The 18114-nt window shown below is 35.9% G+C and overlaps 1 long non-coding RNA gene and 1 pseudogene across 1 annotated transcript in view, besides 1 other annotated feature; both read right to left on the bottom strand.

Moving 5' to 3' along the window:
• Positions 1–10494, bottom strand: part of LOC105377267 (uncharacterized) — a 34668-nt gene extending 24174 nt beyond the window's left edge. Inside the window, exon 1 of the long non-coding RNA NR_136191.1 lies at positions 10222–10494. This is a non-coding gene — a long non-coding RNA (uncharacterized LOC105377267). The remainder of the gene's footprint in view (positions 1–10221) is intronic.
• Positions 10221–10978, bottom strand: LOC642474 (UDP glucuronosyltransferase family 2 member A3 pseudogene; annotated as a pseudogene).
• Positions 13136–13336: a silencer, noted in NCBI's record as "peak5051 fragment used in MPRA reporter construct". NCBI's record gives its function as "represses an SCP1 promoter by STARR-seq MPRAs in K562 erythroleukemia cells {active_cell/tissue: K562}" and the evidence as "EXISTENCE:reporter gene assay evidence [ECO:0000049][PMID:32103011]".

The raw sequence follows: 18114 nt of genomic DNA, 5'->3' as shown, positions 1-18114 counted from the left end.
GACCATATTTTCCATGGGCACTCAAACTCCTCCCTGTTTTAACAAGAGTTTAATATAGCAGAAATAAGCATAATGTTTAGACTCCATGTGACCCATAGTTACCCCAGACAATACTCAGACAACTCACCAATTGTCAGGGAGCTGAACAAGCATTTCTGTGGACCAGAGAGATGAACGTTTCTCCTCATCTACCAAAGGGAATCAGCTTCCCACATGCAGTTAGGAAAAAGAAAACTATGTTGGTGTGCCAACTATTGGGGGAACCCACCCCCAATATTTCAATGTAGGTTCTTTCTATTTTCCATAAGTGTTGGATGGCTGAGAAATAAAGAGAAAGAGTACAAAGAGAGGAATTTTACAGCTGGGCTGCCGGGGGTGATATCACATATTGCTAGGACCGTGATGCCCACACACCAGTAAGTTTTTGTTTAAGGGTTTCAAAAGGGGAGGGGGTATATGAACAGGGAGTAAGTACAAAGATCACATGCTTCAAAGGGCAAAAGACAGAACAAAGATCACATGCTTCTGAGGGAACAGGACAAAGGGCAAAGCAGAACTACTGATAAGGGTCCAACAGAGATCACAAGGCAAACTGCAAAAGCAGAACTACTGATAAGGGTCTATGTTCAGTGGTGCATGTATTGTCTTGATAAACATTTTAAACAACAGAAAACAGGGTTCGAGAGCAGAGAACCGGTCCATATTAAAATGAAATCTTCACAATTTATGTTCCTCTGCGTCAGCTTCAGCCAGTCCCTCCATTTGGGTCCCTGACTTCCTGCAACATCTGTGTGTGTGTGTATGTATGTATACCACATTTTCTTTATCCACTTATTGGTTGGTTGATGGGCATTTAGGCTTGTTCCATTCTTTTTTTTTTAATTGCAAATAGTGCTGTTGCAAACATGTATGTGTGGGGGTCTTTTTCATACAAAAATTTTCTTTCCTCTGGGAAGATACACAGTAGAGTGATAGGTGTATCAAATTGTACTTCTACTGTAATTTCTTATAGAAATCTTCATATGGTTTTCCATAGTAGTTGTACTAGTTTACATTCCCATAGCAGCATAAAAGTGTCCCCTCTTTACCATATTCATGCCAGTATTTCATTATTTTTGGATTTTTAAATTATATCCATTCTTGCAGGAGTATACTGGTATTGCATTGTGGTTTTGATTTGCATTTTCCTGATAATTAGTGAAGTTGAGCATTTTTTCATATATGTTGGCCATTTATATATCTTCTTTTAAGAATTGTCTATTTATTACCTTAGCCTAATTTTTGGGGGTTATTTTTCTCTTGTGGATTTTTTTTTTTTTTTTTTTTTTTTTTTTTTTTTGCCATTTGAAGATTCTGGACATTAGCCCTTTGTCAGATGCATAGTTCATGAATATTTTCCACTATTCTGTGAGTTGTCTGTTTACACAGATGATTATTTCTTTTCCTGGCAGAAGTTTTTAGTTTAATTAAATCACAACTATTTATCTTTGTTTTAGCTGTGTTTGCTTTTGGATTTTTGGTCATGAGGTTTTTACCTAACCTAATGTCTAGAAGAGTTTTTCCAATGTTACATTCTAGAATTTTTTATTGTTTCAGGTCTTAGATTTCATTATTTGATCCATCTTGAGTTGGCTTTTTATAAGGGAGAGACAAAGATGCAGTTTCATTCTTCTACATGGGGACTGCCAATCATTCTAGCCCCATTTGTTGAATAGGATGTCATTTCCCCACTTTATGTTTCTGTTTGCTTTGTCAAAGTTCATTGGGCTGTAAGTATTTGTCTTTATTTCTGGAATCTCTCTTCCGTTCCATTGATTGATATGCCTGTTTTTATACTGATACCATGTTGTTTTGGTAACTTGCAATATGCCTTGTAATATGTTGGGTAATGTGATGCCTGTAGGTTTGTTCTTTTTCTTAGTCTTTCTTTGGCTATGCAGGTTTCAAAGCTGAGAATCAAATAAAAAACTCATCCATTTTGAAAATAGTTGCAAAAAAAAAGAAAAAACAAATTACTAAGGAATCTACCTAACCAAGAAGGTGAAAGACCTCTACAAAGAAAACTGCTAAACACTGCTGAAAAAGGTCATAGATGACACAAACAAATGGAAATACATCCCATGCTCATGGATGGGTAGAATCAATTTTGTGAAAATGAGCATATTGCGAAAAGAAATCTATAAATCCAATTCAATTCTCATCAAAACACCATCATCATGCTTAAGAGAACTAGAAAAAAAATCCTAAATTTGATATGGGTTTTATTATCATATTTGACTTTTAGTAAGAAATGTAAGTCCTTTATTTTAGGTTGTGATAATATAGAAATTACACTCTAAAGGGACTTAGTGACTTTTCAATCTTGCTAAATACACAGGTACACATATATGTCCATTTCTTTTAAAACAAGACACAGCATCAATTAACTAGCTAATAGGTGTGTGGTGAAATTCAATGTGTATTTTGAAGACAGCTTGAAATAATTATTATTATTATACATAACTGTACTTTAAATGATCATATCTATTTTTTTATTTTCCACAGAGATTTTTGATTCATCGCTCCTAAAAATGTAATATGGAAACATAAATTTTTAGTAAGCCAAAAAATATATACAAAGGATACAAAAAGTTTATAAATTTTGTGGAAAATAGCTAAATCAAGCCATAAATATCCTTTAATCTACACATCAGGGAAGCGCTTTATGATCAAACTAGTCCAGATTAACAGAAACCCAGTTGTCTTTGTCACTAAAAAGTCTTGCCATTAATCACTTCTCACAAAAATATTCTACAGCATAAGGTCTGATTAAAAACATATATACATACATATATGTATCTTTATAATTATATAGACATAGATAAATCATGTAATATACATATACACACACACTCAAAAACATTGATGAGATAGAGAGATTATAGAAAATTTTATACAAATCATCTAGGAATTAATGCAGATATAAAGAAACACAGAACTTATATAGTGCCAAAGATTAATAATGTTGTTTTATCATGCTTATAAATCTGAATTAATTCACATAAAACCTATCCTATAACACACATAACAAAAGATTGGTATCCATTGTTCTGTGAGAACTACAAATCACTAACCAAAACTGACAAACAATCTAATTAAAAAGTGATTAAAATATGAAGAAGCAATTCAAAGTAAAAATGGCCCATAAGACATAAAAGATTAAAAAGTTACTGATGCTCAGTAAAATAGAATTAATGCCAACAAATTGATGTCATACAGAAGATTTGCACCCTATAAAAACCTGAGAAATCTATTTTGAGGGAGTATAATTTGAAATAACCCTTATAATAAAATGTAAATATGCCGTTTGAAACTGAAGTTCTACATTTAGGAATCTGTCATGAAAAATCCATGCACATCAGCACATGTATGAACAGAATTATTCCTCCAGCACTTAAATGGCTTTCAGCCACTGAACACATGTACCTCCAACAAATGTATGAGGGGAGCCATTGCAGAAAACAGGCTGACTATCACATTGCTAAACAGAAAAAGTAGTTTCCAGAAAAACAAAAAAGTATTTTTTGCAATGAAATAAAATATATGCAAACTGGTACAAAGAAGAAAGAATCTCGAAAAACACATGTAATTACAAGGATGAGAATTTAAATTTTTATTCTATATAATTCTGCAATGTTTAACTTTCCAGAAAGTTTTCATGTATTAATTATGATATTTAAAGTTTAATTTGTGAAATAAACACATCCATTTAAGACAGGAAGTTTCAAAATGTGGCATCACATTATTAATTCGCTAGTGTCATTCAAAAAACTTGACAATGTTTCTCATATATTATTTTATCCACTTGCAGCTTGTTTTTAGGACATTTGTTCTATTTTTGAAAATATGTATGAATAAATATAACACAATGTTTAAAAATGGCAATAATTGTAGAAACCTAAATTCATGTAATTTTAATATTTTTTCTTGTACCATTTTTAATATTTTATGAATTTTACAATAGTTTAATAACTTCTGCTGCCTTCTTCAAAGGGTTATATTTGTTGTTATTTTGAGACATGACTATAAATACACTGACAATTTTCCTATCAATATTCCCTCCCTTTGAAGTTTGGCAAACTTTGTAACTGTCTCAACAAAAAGAATGTAATGAAAATAATGCAGCTAAACTTTCAAAGCACTGCTGGAAACACAGCATATTCTCTGTTTCTCTTTCGCTCTTTCTGTTTCTTCTTTTCATGTCTTTTTTTTTTCGCTCACTATTACTAAATAACTCAACCTGTATTCCCCATAATAAATGACAATTTGTAGAGAGACACTAATATATGCCTAAGGAATCCTGGTAGCCCACTAGCACTTGGAGCCTTTCAACATGAATCTCTAAGTATGTAAGTGAATGATCTTCAGATAATTATTGACCCGGGCACCACAGAAAAGTAGCTACCTAAGAAACTCTGTGAAGGAACACATAACTGAGCCCACCTAACACACAGATTCTGAGACATGATAATAAAATGATTACAGTTGTTTTAAGGCCCTACATTTGAAAACTATTTGTTATGCAGTGATACACACCTGGAATAATAATTCTACATATTTTAAATTATACATTTGTAATAAAATTACAATTAATATATATCTACATAATGGGAAACTGTGATACTACACTTGGAAAATATCTGTACCCCAAATAGGAAAGTCAATATAACCTGGTGGTTAAGAGCTGGCACTCTGGATCCAGATGGCCTTGATTCAAGCCTTAGAAATCACTATATAATGATGTGGGACTGGACAAGTTACTTGAACTTTATTTGACTCAGCTTTCTCACCAATGAAATGGCAATAGTTGTCATCACATTATCAATATCATGCGTTATTTAAAGAACAAATTAATTAATATTGCAAAGTACTAACAATTGTGTGTACAGCAAAATAAAATTTGTACTATTATCATTAAACAAGTCAAAAAATTTCCACAATAATAATTTTAGTGTTCACATAATTGCATAATACATTATAGTTTCAAAACATGCTAAGTTTCTAATGCAAATGATAGAAATGCCCACATTTACTATTTCAAGCATGTGGGAATTAAACTTGGAGCATAAACCAAGGGCTGACAAACTATGGCCTCTTGGTCGATCACATCTGGTCAGGTAATTGTTTAAAAAAAAATAACGGATATACGAATTTCACACCACAAAATTATACACTTTAAGCATTTAATCTGTATGATTCATTGGCATGTAACACATTTGAAATGTTGTGGCATTACCACCACTATCTAGATCCAAATTAATTTTTTTCACTTCAAAAGGAAGCTTTATACCCATTAGAGCGTCATCTCACATTCTCCCATTATCCATGCCTTGCAACTTGACATTATGTATTGGCATCGTTGTACAGCCTACTGGGTAATATTTTTTTTAAATGCAGCAGTTGCAATCCTAGTCTGTGATGAAAAGAGACTTTAAACCAACAAAGATCAAAAGAGACAAAGAAGGCCATAATGGTAAAGGGATCAATTCAACATGAAGAGCTAACTATTCTAAATATATATGCACGCCATACAGGAGTACCCAGATTCATAAAGCAAATCCTTAGAGTCCTAGAAGGAGACTTAGACTCCCACACAATAATAATGGGAGACTTTAACACCGCACTGTCAACATTAGACTGATCAACGAGACAGGAAGTTAACAAGGATGTCCAGGAATTGTACTCAGCTCTTCACCAAGCAGACCTAATAGACATCTACAGAACTCTCCACACCAAATCAACAGAATATACATTCTTCTCAGCACCACACCACACCTATTCCAAAACTGACCACATAGTTGGAAGTAAAGCACTCCTCAGCAAATGTACAAGAAGAGAAATTATAACAAATTGCACTGTCTCTCAGAACACAGTGCAATCAAAGCAGAACTCAGGATTAAGAAACTCACTCAAAACCGCTCAACTACATGGAAACTGAACAACCTGCTCCTGAATGACTACTGGGTACATAACGAAATGAAAGCAGAAATAAAGATGTTCTTTGAAACCAAGGAGAACCAAGACACAACATACCAGAATCTCTGGGACACATTCAAAGCAGTTTGTAGAAGGAAATTTATAGCACTAAATGCCCACAAGAGAAAGCAGGAAAGATCTAAAATTGACACCGTAACCCCACAATTAAAAGAACTAGAGAAGCAAGAGCAAACAAATTGAAAAGCTAGCAGAAGGCAAGAAATAACTAAGATCAGAGCAGAACTGAAGAATATAGAGACACAAAAAAACCCTTCAAAAAAATCAATGAATCCAGGAGTTGGTTTTTTGAAAAGATCAACAAAATTGATAGCAAGACTAATAAATAAGAAAAGAAAGAAGAATCAAATAGACACAATGAAAAATGATAAAGGGGATATCACCACCGATCCCACAGAAATACAAAGTACCATCAGAGAATAGTATAAACACCTCTACGCAAATAAACTAGAAAATCTAGAAGAAATGGATAAATTCCTCGACACATACATCTCCCAAGACTAAACCAGCAAGAAGTTGAATCTCTGAATAGACCAATAACAGGCTCTGAAATTGAGGCAATAATCAATAGCTTACCAACCAAAAAAATCCAGGACCAGATGGATTCACAGCCAAATTCTACCAGAGGTACAAGGAGGAGCTGATAGCATTCCTTCTGAAACTATTCCAATCAATAGAAAAAAGGAATCATCCCTAACTCATTTTATGAGGTCATCATCATCCTGATACCAAAGCCTGGCAGAGACACAACAAAGAAAGAGAATTTTAGACCAATATCCCTGATGAACATCGATGCAAAAATCCTCAATAAAATACTGACAAACCGAATCCAGGAGCACATCAAAAAGCTTATCCACCATGATCAAATGGGTTTCATTCCTGGGATGCAAGGCTGGTTCAACATACTCAAATCAATAAACATAATACAGCATATAAACAGAACCAATGACAAAAACTATATGATTATCTCAATAGATGCAGAAAAGGTCTTGGACAAAATTCAACAATGCTTCATGCTAAAAAAATCTCAAAAAATCAGGTATTGATGGGATGTATCTCAAAATAATAAGAGCTACCTATGACAAACCCACAGCCAATATCATACTGAATGGGCAAAAACTGGAAACATTCCCTTTCAAAACCGGCACAAGACAGGGATGCCCTCTCTCACCACTCCTGTTCAACATTGTGTTGGAAGTTCTGGCCAGGGCAATCAGGCAGGAGGAAGAAATAAAGCGTATTCTATTAAGAAAACGGGAAGTCAAATTGTACCTGTTTGCAGATGACATGATTGTATGTCTAGAAAACCCCATCATCTCAGCCCCAAATCTCCTTAAGCTGATAGGCAACTTCAGCAAAGTCTCAGGATACAAAATCCATGTGCAAAAATCACAAGAATTTTTATACAGCAATAACAGACAAACAGCCAAATCATGAGTGAACTCCCATTCACAATTGCTTCAAAGAGAATAAAATATGCAGGAATCCAACTTACAAGAGCTGTGAAAGACCTTTTCAAGGAGAGCTACACAGCTCTGCTCAATGAAATAAAAGAGGATACCAACAAATGGAAGAACATTCCATGCTCATGGATAGGAAGAATCAATATCATGAAAATGGCCATACTGCCCAAGGTTATTTATAGATTCAATGCCATCCCCATCAAGCTACTAATGACTTTCTTCACAGAATTGGAAAAAACTACTTTAAAGTTCATATGGAACCAGAAAAGAGCCCACATTGCCAAGTCAATCCTAAGCCAAAAGAACAAAGCTGGAGGCATCACACTACCTGACTTCAAACTATACTACAAGGCTACAGTAACCAAAATAGCATGGTACTGGTACCAAAACAGAGATATAGACCAAAGGAACAGAACAGAACCCTCAGAAGTAATACCACACATCTACAACCATCTAATCTTTGACAAACCTGACAAAAACAAGAAATGGGGAAATGATTCCCTATTTAACAAATGGTGCTGGGAAAACTGGCTAGCCATATGTAGAAAGCTGAAACTGGATCCCTTCCTTACACCTTATACAAAAATTAATTCAAGGTGGATTAAAGACTTAAATGTTAGAACTAAAACCATCAAAACCCTAGAAGAAAACTGGGCAATACCATTCAGGACATAGGCATGGGCAAGGACTTCATGTCTAAAACACCAAAAGCAATGGCAACAAAAGCCAAAATTGACAAATGGGATCTAATTAAACTAAACAGCTTCTGTGCAGCAAAAGAAACTATCATCAGAGTGAACAGGCAACCTACAGAATGGGAGAAAGTTTTTGCAATCTACTCATCTGATAAAGGGCTAATATCCAGAATCTACAATGAACTCAAACAAATTTACAAGAAAAAAACAAACGACCCCATCAAAAAGTGGGCAAAGGATATGAACAGACACTTCTGAAAAGAAGACATTTATGCAGCCAAAAGAAACATGAAAAAATGCTCATCATCACTGGCAATCAGAGAATGCAAATCAAAACCACAATGAGATACCATCTCACACCAGTTAGAATGGCGTTCATTAAAAAGTCAGGAAACAACAGGTGCTGGAGAGGATGTGGAGAAATAGGAACACTTTTACACTGTTGGTGGGACTGTAAACTAGTTCAACCATTGTGGAAGTCGGTGTGGTGATTCCTCAGGGATCTAGAACTAGAGATACCATTTGACCCAGCAATCCCATTACTGGGTATATACCCAAAGGATTATACATCCTGCTGCTATAAAGACACATGCACACGTATGTTTATTGCAGCACTATTCACAACAGCAAAGACTTGGAACCAAACCAAATGTCCAACAATGATAGACTGGATTAAGAAAATGAGGCACATATACACTATGGAATACTACGCAGCCATAAAAAATGATGAGTTCACGTCCTTTGTAGGGACATGGATAAAGCTGGAAACCATCATTCTCAGCAAACTATTGCAAGGACAAAAAACCAAACACCGCATGTTCTCACTCACAGGTGGAAATTGAACAGTGAAAACACATGGAAACAGGAAGGGGAACATCACACAGCGGTGTCTGTTGTGGGGTGGGGGAGAGGGGTGAGATAGCATTAGGAGATATACCTAATGTTAAATGAAAAGTTAATGGGTGCAGCACACCAACATGGTACATGTATACATATGTAACTAACCTGCACGTTTTGCACATGTACCCTAAAACTTAAAGTATAATAAAAAAACTTTAATTTGTAAATTGCAATTTCTGTGATGCACAATAAAGCAAAGGATAATAAAATGAAATATGCCTATGCATAACAACTTATGGAAATAAAATGTTAAGCTAGGCAGAGCTTACTGAATACAAAATTAATTAGAGGAAATCAATACATGTAATTTCAAAACATGTCTAAGGCTAAGGACATTTGAAGTGGGATCCTCTGAATATTAGTTCTGTGAAACAATCTATGTATTAGAATTCAGTGGAATACTTTAAACAATAATTTAGTGTCTATTATGACTGTTCCTTTGTTCATGTTTCTACATATTTCTCAAACATTTTTGGATTAAAATCATGTCTTGCATTTACCAGCTCTGATCACAACGGTGTATGAAAACTGCAAAGTAAAACAATTTTTATCAGTAAAGCAAAGAAATAAAAATAAGTCAAATAGATATATATCAGTAAAGTAAAAATTGTATCTCATGCGCCACAAGACCATAAGTCATTTAACTTTTTGTAATATTTTTTCAAGTTTTTGTGAAGTAATCAACTAAGAAATTAGAGAATTCTAGAAAATGTTTCAATTTAACCACCTCTGTGAAAATAATTCAAAGAGGACTTTCTGAAGATTTTTTTTTGAAATTTTTGATGAGAGAGAAAAGAATGATTAGCATCTTGTTTCAATAGAAATGGTATAACAGTCAAAATAACAATCAATGATTCTCAAAAATATGCGATGTAGATTTGGGCTATTTGGAGGAAATACAAAATATAATCTCCTTGTTAATGATGATCATTTGTAAGTTTATTACTGGTATTAAGGAAGTAGGTTACCTTACACTTAGAACAAATCTACTTTCTTTATGAAGAACAGCTATAACATTTTCTATAATAAAAACTCATTAACCTGCATATATGTGTCATAGACGATGTATGGCAACTTTAAAAAAAATTTATTTTGATAATTAAATTAAAAATAAAATAAGAATCTCTTACCTGATGCCTTACTCTAACACTCTTCCCAAAAATGATGGTCATAATCCTGAATCCAGAAGTGGAAGAAAACTGAAAGCATTGGATTTTTAATCTTTCCTGAAAGGTCATTCTGTCTGTTAGTCCTGTCATAGGCACAGGTACATAGGAAAGTGGAGCTGGAAGTTTCCCACAGCTTCGCTCCATCTTGCCTCTTAGAGAAGTTCTAGGTGTGAGCACAAAAGGGACTGGAAGCAACTCAGCCATCAGGTCTCCACGGGGAATCACAGGGTCTATAAGCGTTACATCGTAGTTGGTTTCCTGTAGCTTCTTCATAAGTGTTTGATTGTAGATAACGCTCTGACACATTATTTTTAAAGTTCCTCTTATTTCAACAAAAAAACATTTAATTTTATAACTGATTGCCAGGTTGTTAAGCCTGGCAAGACATTCAGAGCTAGGTCAACAAATATTTCATTTTTTTCTGTTTTATCCTGTGGCATATGGACCACCTCAAATTTCAGTGCAGAGGGCTTCCTGTAGTCAATTAACAAAGACTTTGAGTGAGTCAATACTGTTACCTCATGGCCCCTCACTATGATCTCCTCTAGAATGACCTTGACATTAAGCCAATGGCTCATGTCACAGGGCCACACCAGGACCTTCTCACAGAATTCACAACTAGCACAGAAGAGTTGCAGGAGCCGAAATACCAAAGCTGACTTCTCGGGCCTCATGATGACATTTCCCTCACACACTGATCTGCACTAGCTTTGTAGTTACTAAGCATGAAATTGAAATGACAATATAAGCACAGAAGTTAAAAATTAATATTTTAAGTGTAAATAAAGTTCATTGGTTGGTTGCCAGCTTCACATTTATTGAAGATATCAAAAAGAAATGCAATGTTGCAATGTATCAGGGAAAATTTGTTCCAACCTTCTAGAGCTTAGAAATAAAACACATAAAGATACTTTTATTATCTGGATTGATGATAAAGAAATTTTTTAAAATTCTTTAGATTTAATAATTCATGTGCAGAAACATATGCACACAACCACATTTACATTCATTCCACACTAAATCCAAGGTGTCAGATGGTTTAGAAGAACTCATGTTTCACATCCTTTGCTCACAAGGACAATACAAAGAATTACTGGGAATACACTTGGAGACTTTGGGTAACTATTTTCATTAATTCTATATACTAAGTGCAAAGTGTTCAGTATTTCAGAGGAGAAAAATGCACAATTGCTTTAATATCTGATAATTAATAAAAGCTTTAGTAAGACATTTGACTTAGGAGGTGAGATGAAAGCTTCATTAGGATTTATTGTTGCCAAAGGAAGCATTTCACAATCAATACAAGCATGACGAAAGTATAGGATATTTAAAAGTCATTCCAGTGAGTAGTGATCACAGAGAAAGTTCAGGGCAGGACGTTACAGAACAAAGTTAGTTTGAAATAGGAGAAATTAGTTTTAAATAAACAATTATTAGTCTGAATGATAATTTATAGGCAAATAATTACTTACTCAAGTTTTAAAGGACAGTCACAAGATCGAGCTTTTCCTTAGCAAGAAATTCTTGCATCTCAACATAGAGTGATATGTAAAGATAAGAGTTTAGAAACAGGGAAAATGATAAAAATTGTATATTAGTTACTGAGACATGTCAACCTTATGGAATAAAACATAAATTGTTAATAGTAAATGTGAGAAATTAATTTGAAATTTGTATTTACTGATAATATCTGAGACGGGAAAAAATGTATAGGAGAAAAGACATGGTTTTGGTTTCTGTGTTAATAAGCAGAAGGCTAATAATGACATTAGGTAAAATATTATCATTATGTTCTAATTATTCAACAACTCTATGTAGATGTAAACCAAAAATAAAATTTTAAGCATCCTCAACCACCTAAATGGACCCTTACTCTCAGCAAAGAGCATTTCAAACTTAATCTGAAAAACTGGTTCAGACAATGATGGGAAGTGGGGTGGTGGGATAGGACATGCCTCATTATACCCTCCTCGCTTTTTGAACTCAGGAAAATCTTACAAGCACTAACATCAACACAGACCTTAAAGACAATAGAACAGACTCATTACGTTTGATAAGAAACATTTACAATCTATATTCTCTCAAGCCTGTTGCCTGACCGCTTTATCTGCATGATAAAACCTTGGTATTCACAGCCCCTTATCTTAACCTAGACATTCTTGTCTATTAATTCTATATCTTTAGACAACAATATAACTCAACCAATTGCCAATAGAAAATCCTTGAATTAGCCTATGACCTGGAAGCCCCTGCTCCCAGTTGTCCTGCCTATTCAGACCATGTCAATGTATAACTTACCTGTATTGATTGATGACTAATGTCTCTCTAAATTGCATAAAACTAAGCTGTAGCCTGAGCGCCATGGGGAAATATTCTTAGGATCTCCTGAGTGTTATGTCACAGGCCATCATTGACTCATATTTGGCTCAGAATAAAACTCTTTAAATATTTTAAAATGTTTGACTCTTTTCATCAATAACAACTTGACATTTGAATATGTGGGGCCTCAGAGAAAACTCAGGACACCATAAAACATGCCTGAACTTGAAGCTAAGGTAGCAACAGAGGTCCACTGAAAGCCTCTCCAATTTTGAGCTTCTTCTTCGGTGGGACTGGTAAGTCTTCTTGAGCCCTGGACCTCCCTTTGGTTGATAGTCCTTGTTTTTTTCTGAATTTTTTTTTTCTCCTGGGAAGTTGTCTTTTAGAATCCTAATTATAGTTCAGGAGTACATTCTAAAGGGTCCTCTCCATTGCCTTTTCTCCCAAAGATAAGCTCAAATGGCTTGTCTGCACATTTGCATGAGGAGCCGAACTATTATTTTTGTAGATCAGTGAGAGATGAGAGACTGAGCTCCTCAGCACTGAGGAGAAAGGACATTTTGCTTCTCCAAGCGAAAGGGGCCTATTTGGAATGTCTGGGGTGTTAAACCTTCACGATGTATAGTGGCCAAACAGAGAACTCCCCCAACACAATGAGTTTAAAAAGCTCATCTAGCAAATGTATGTAAGAGCTGATCACTCAGTGTTTTGAGACCTCATGGAGGTGATAGACGTCTGGAGAGAGAACTAATGAGAACAGAAAATAAGGAACCAGTTAGGCAAATAGTTAGGACAAGGTTCTTGGTAGAAGCCCTCCCCCAAAAATAACAGTCTGGAGGAAATCAAGCTGCAAGCGCAGGTAAGGAAGAAAAGTCCAAAGCCTTTGTCTTCTGTGCAACCAGTGAGCTCTGTCTATTCACGATGGTCTTCAGTGAGCACATTCCTTTTCTTTTCTGACATACTCAGATAAAGGAACTTGCACAGGGTGCTTTCCTAAGACAGACCTGTAGCTGTATAGATAAGGAAAGTTACACAGAACCACACACGTCCGCAGTGACACAGAGTCAGTAAGCAAAATAAAACAACATGCAGTAACTCAGGCTAAGGACCTGCATGCACACTAGAGGGAAGAGGTGGAGCTAACAAGAATTTGTATGTATGCAAATAAGACATCCATTCCTAACCGGTTTTTCATGCCTTATGCACACGAAACACTCTGCCTCATTAGCTTTTATTTTTGTATAGAAAAGTCTGCATTCAACTGTGAATGCTTCCTCTTCATAGTAGACAGCTTTTCTCTTTCGCTTATTAAACTTCTCTTCCAACATTACCGTTGGTGTTCATGATCCTTAATTTTTTGGGTCTTGAGACAAAGAACTCCTGGTGATACTTCAAACAACAAGACTGCTCCAGTGACCCTAGGCTGCTTCACTGTAAAAACTAAAGTAGAAGTTCCTCTTCAAAGACTTTCCTCCCCATCTAATTAAGAATAAATAGTAAGTTCTCTTAGAAGCAAAATTTATTCAAAGACCAGTGCTGACATTTTTAAATATCTGCTAGCCATAATAAAGAAATCTATGTACTTTATGTTCTTAGCTCCTACAATGGAGCCTAAATATTTACTCTGGCATGCTTATACTGGTCAAAGCAAGCATTAGGATATAGTCTGTTCCTCTTCCTTATTTGAAGGTATTTTTTTTGGGGGGGTGAGGGATAGGTCATTTACTTTTTTCTTTTATATTTTTATATTTTTATTTTGTTTTTTAATTTTTTTATTATACTTTAAGTTCTAGGGTACATGTGCACAACGTGCAGGTTTGTTACATATGTATATATGTACCATGTTGGTGTGCTGCACCTGTTAGCTGCACCCATTAACTCCACATTTACATTAGGTATATCTCTTAATGCTACCACTCCCCCCTCCCCCCACTCCACTAACTACAGGCTCCAGTGTGTGATGGTCCCTGTGTCCAAGTGTTCTCCTTGTTCAATTCCCACCTATGTGTGAGAACATGAATTGTTCGGTTTTCTGTTCTTGCGATAGTTTGCTCAGAATGGTGTTTTCCAGCTTCATCCATGTCCCTGCAAATGACATGAACTCATTTTTTTATGGCTGCATAGTATTACATGGTGTATATGTGCCACATTTTCTTAACCCACTCTATCATTGATGAACATTTGAGTTGGTTCCAAGTCTTTGCTATTGTGAATAGTGCCACAATAAACATAAGTTTGCATGTGTCTTTAAAGCAGCATGATTTATAATCCTTTGGGTATATACCCAGTAATGGGATGGCTGGGTAAAATGGTATTTCTAGTTGTAGATCCCTGAGGAATTGCCACACTGTCTTCCACAATGGTTGAACTAGTTTACAGTCCCACCAATAGTGTGAAAGCATTCCTATTTCTCCACATCCTCTCCAGCACCTGTTGTTTCCTGACTTTAATGATTGCCTTTCTAACTGTTGTGAGATGGTATCTCATTGTGGTTTTTGATTTGCATTTCTCTGATGGCCAGTGATGATGAACATTTTTTCATGTGTCTGTTGGCTGCATAAATGTCTTCTTTTGAGAAGTGTCTGTTCAAGTGTCCTCTGCCCACTTTTTGATGGGGTGGTTTGATTTCTTCTTGTAAATTTGTTTAAGTTCTTTGGAGATTCTGGATACTAGCCCTTTGGCAGATGGGTAGATTGTGAAAATTTTCTCCCATTCTGTCAGTTGCCTGTTCACTCTGATGGTAGTTTCTTTTGCTGCACAGAAGCTGTTTAGTTTAATTAGATCCCATTTGTCAATGTTGGCTTTTGTTGCCATTGCTTTTGGTGTTTTAGTCATGAAGTCCTTGCCCATGCCTATGTCCTTATTGGTATTGCCTAGGTTTTCTTCTAGGGTTTTGATGGTTTTAGTTCTAACATTTAAGTCTTTAATCCACCTTGAGTTAATTTTTGTATGAGATGTAAGGAAGGGATCCTGTTTCAGCTTTCTACATATGGCTAGCCAGTTTTCCCAGCACCATTTATTAAATAGGGAATCCTTTCCCCATTTCTTGTTTTTGTCAGGCTTGCCAAAGATCAGATGGTTGTAGATATGTGGTATTACTTCTGGGGTTTTGTTCTGTTCTACTGGTCTTTATCTCTGTTTTGGTACCAGTACCATGTTGTTTTGGTTACTACAGTAGCCTTGTAGTATAGTTTGAAGTCAGGCAGTGTGATGCCTCCAGCTTTGTTCTTTTGGCTTAGGATTGTCTTGGCAATGCCGGCTCTTTTTTGCTTCCATGTGAACTTTAAAGTAGTTTTTTCCAATTCTGTGAAGAAAGTCATTGGTAGCTTGATGGGGATGGCATTGAATCTGTAAATTACTTTGGACAGTATGGCCATTTTCACAATATTGATTCTTCATATTCATGAGCACGGACTGTTCTTCCATTTGTGTCCTCTTTTATTTCATTGAGCAGTGGTTTGTAGTTCTCCTTGAAGAGGTCCTTCACATCCCTTGTAAGTTGGATTCCTAGGTATTTTATTCTCTTTGAAGCAATTGTGAATGGGAGTTCACTCATGATTTGACTCTCTGTTTGTCTGTTCTTTGTGTATATGAATGCTTGTGATTTTTGCCATTGATTTTGTATCTTGAGACTTTGCTGAAGTTGTTTATCAGCTTAAGGAGATTCTGAGCTGAAATGATGTGGTTTTCTAACTTTGCAATCATGTCATCTGCAAAAGGGACAATTTGACTTCCTGTTTTCTTAATAGAATACCCTTTATTTATTCCTCCTGCCTGATTGCCCTGGCCAGAACTTCCAACACAATGTTGAATAGGAGTGGTGAGAGAGGGCATCCCTGTCTTGTGCCAGTTTTCAAAGGGAATGCTTCCAGTTTTTTCCCATTCAGTACGATATTGGCTTTGGGTTTGTCATAAATAGCTATTATTTTGAGATACATCTCATCAATACCTAGTTTGTTGAGAGTTATTTGAAGATATTTTTAACCTTTCTCAACATTCAACAAATTACATCCTTCTTCCTTTGTTCTCCTTTGACTAAAGTTCTAAGTTGTTAGCCAATCAGGACAAATACAGAATGTGAGGTCCTATTCCTGCCAATAGAAATTGGACACAGCAGTAAGATGGACGCATCAAGTTATAAATGACCCTGTCTCCTTTGTTCAGTGTAATCTTGTGGCAAAACTGCTGGTGCGTTTACTCTTTCTGCAGAAAGTTAAAAAAAAAATGGCCGTGCTGAAGCAATTAAATTTATTTTCAAGTGCTATTTCTTTATGGCACTGAAGAACAAGCATTTCAAAGATTCACTAATACATGTAAGAAGGCAGAAACAACTCAACATTAAAACATGTGGGGTCTCACTTATAATCATCACACACTGATGCACCACACAAAAAACCCTAGGCCACAGCTTGGTTCCTCCTTTTAAGAACAAAAAGTGGGAAAAAAATTTAAGAATGAGGAAAGACAAGGAGAAAAACTCTATTGGGGCAATTTTTTGGCTTCATGGGGCTTCCATTTGCAAGTGTTTGTGTAAAATGGAGAAGTTTGAGGGCATTCTACGTCTAATGGTTTAGGACAACCCCCCAAGTGCTGTCTTGTCATGGAGTTTTCAGAAGATCTGGTTGTTTAAAAGTGTGTAGCAGCTCCCCTCCACCTTCCTCCTATTCTGGTCAGGTAGGACATATTGGCTTCCCATTCACCTTCTCAGAATTATAAGTTTTCTGAGGCCTCCTCAGCCATGGCACCTATAAAACCTGGGAAACTGTGAGTAATTTAAACCTCTTTTCTTCATAAATTACCCAGTCTCAGGTAGTTCTTTACAGCAATATGGAACAAATGTGAGAACAAAGTAATACAGAAGATGTGAGAACAATGTGAGAACAAAGTAATACAGAAGATGTGAGAACAATGTGACAACAAACTAATACAGGAAACTAGAGAGGTGGGGCGTTGCTATAAAGATACCTGAAAATGTGGAAGCAACTTTGGAGCTGGGTAATGGGCAGAGGTTGGAACAGTTTGGAGGGCTCAGAAAAAGACAGGAAGATGAGAAAAAGACAGGCAGATCCACAGGGCCAGAGCTGCCCAAAGCCTTGAGAGCCCTCCCATTGCATCTGTGTGCCCTGGATGGGAGACATGGAGTCAAAGGAAACTATTTTGAAGCTTTAAGATTTAATGAGTGTCCTGCTGGGTTTTGGAGTTGCCTGGGGCCTGTAGCCCCTTTGTTCTAATAACTTGCAATTTCTTTATCAATACTTGCTGCTTCACCTTACACTCTTATTTTATGAAGATGGCTTCTTAAATTCATGAATCAACCTCTACTAGTGTCAAACTTTTGATCTGCAGAATCCTCATCTCTCAGCCTTCATAGAATTCAGAGAGTTAGGGCCTTGCTTTGGATTAGGCTTTGGTTTCAGGGAATGTTGAGAATAATTTGATCTTCTATCCAGACCACTAAAATTTTCTCCGTATCAGCAATACGCCTATTTCCCTTTCTTATCTTTTATGTGTTCACTGGAATAGCACTGTTAATTG

Source organism: Homo sapiens, chromosome 4 (assembly GCF_000001405.40).
Source record: "Homo sapiens chromosome 4, GRCh38.p14 Primary Assembly".
Lineage (NCBI taxonomy): Eukaryota > Metazoa > Chordata > Mammalia > Primates > Hominidae > Homo > Homo sapiens.
Note: the sequence above shows the minus strand (reverse complement) of the source record. Positions and strands in the feature narration are given on the sequence as shown.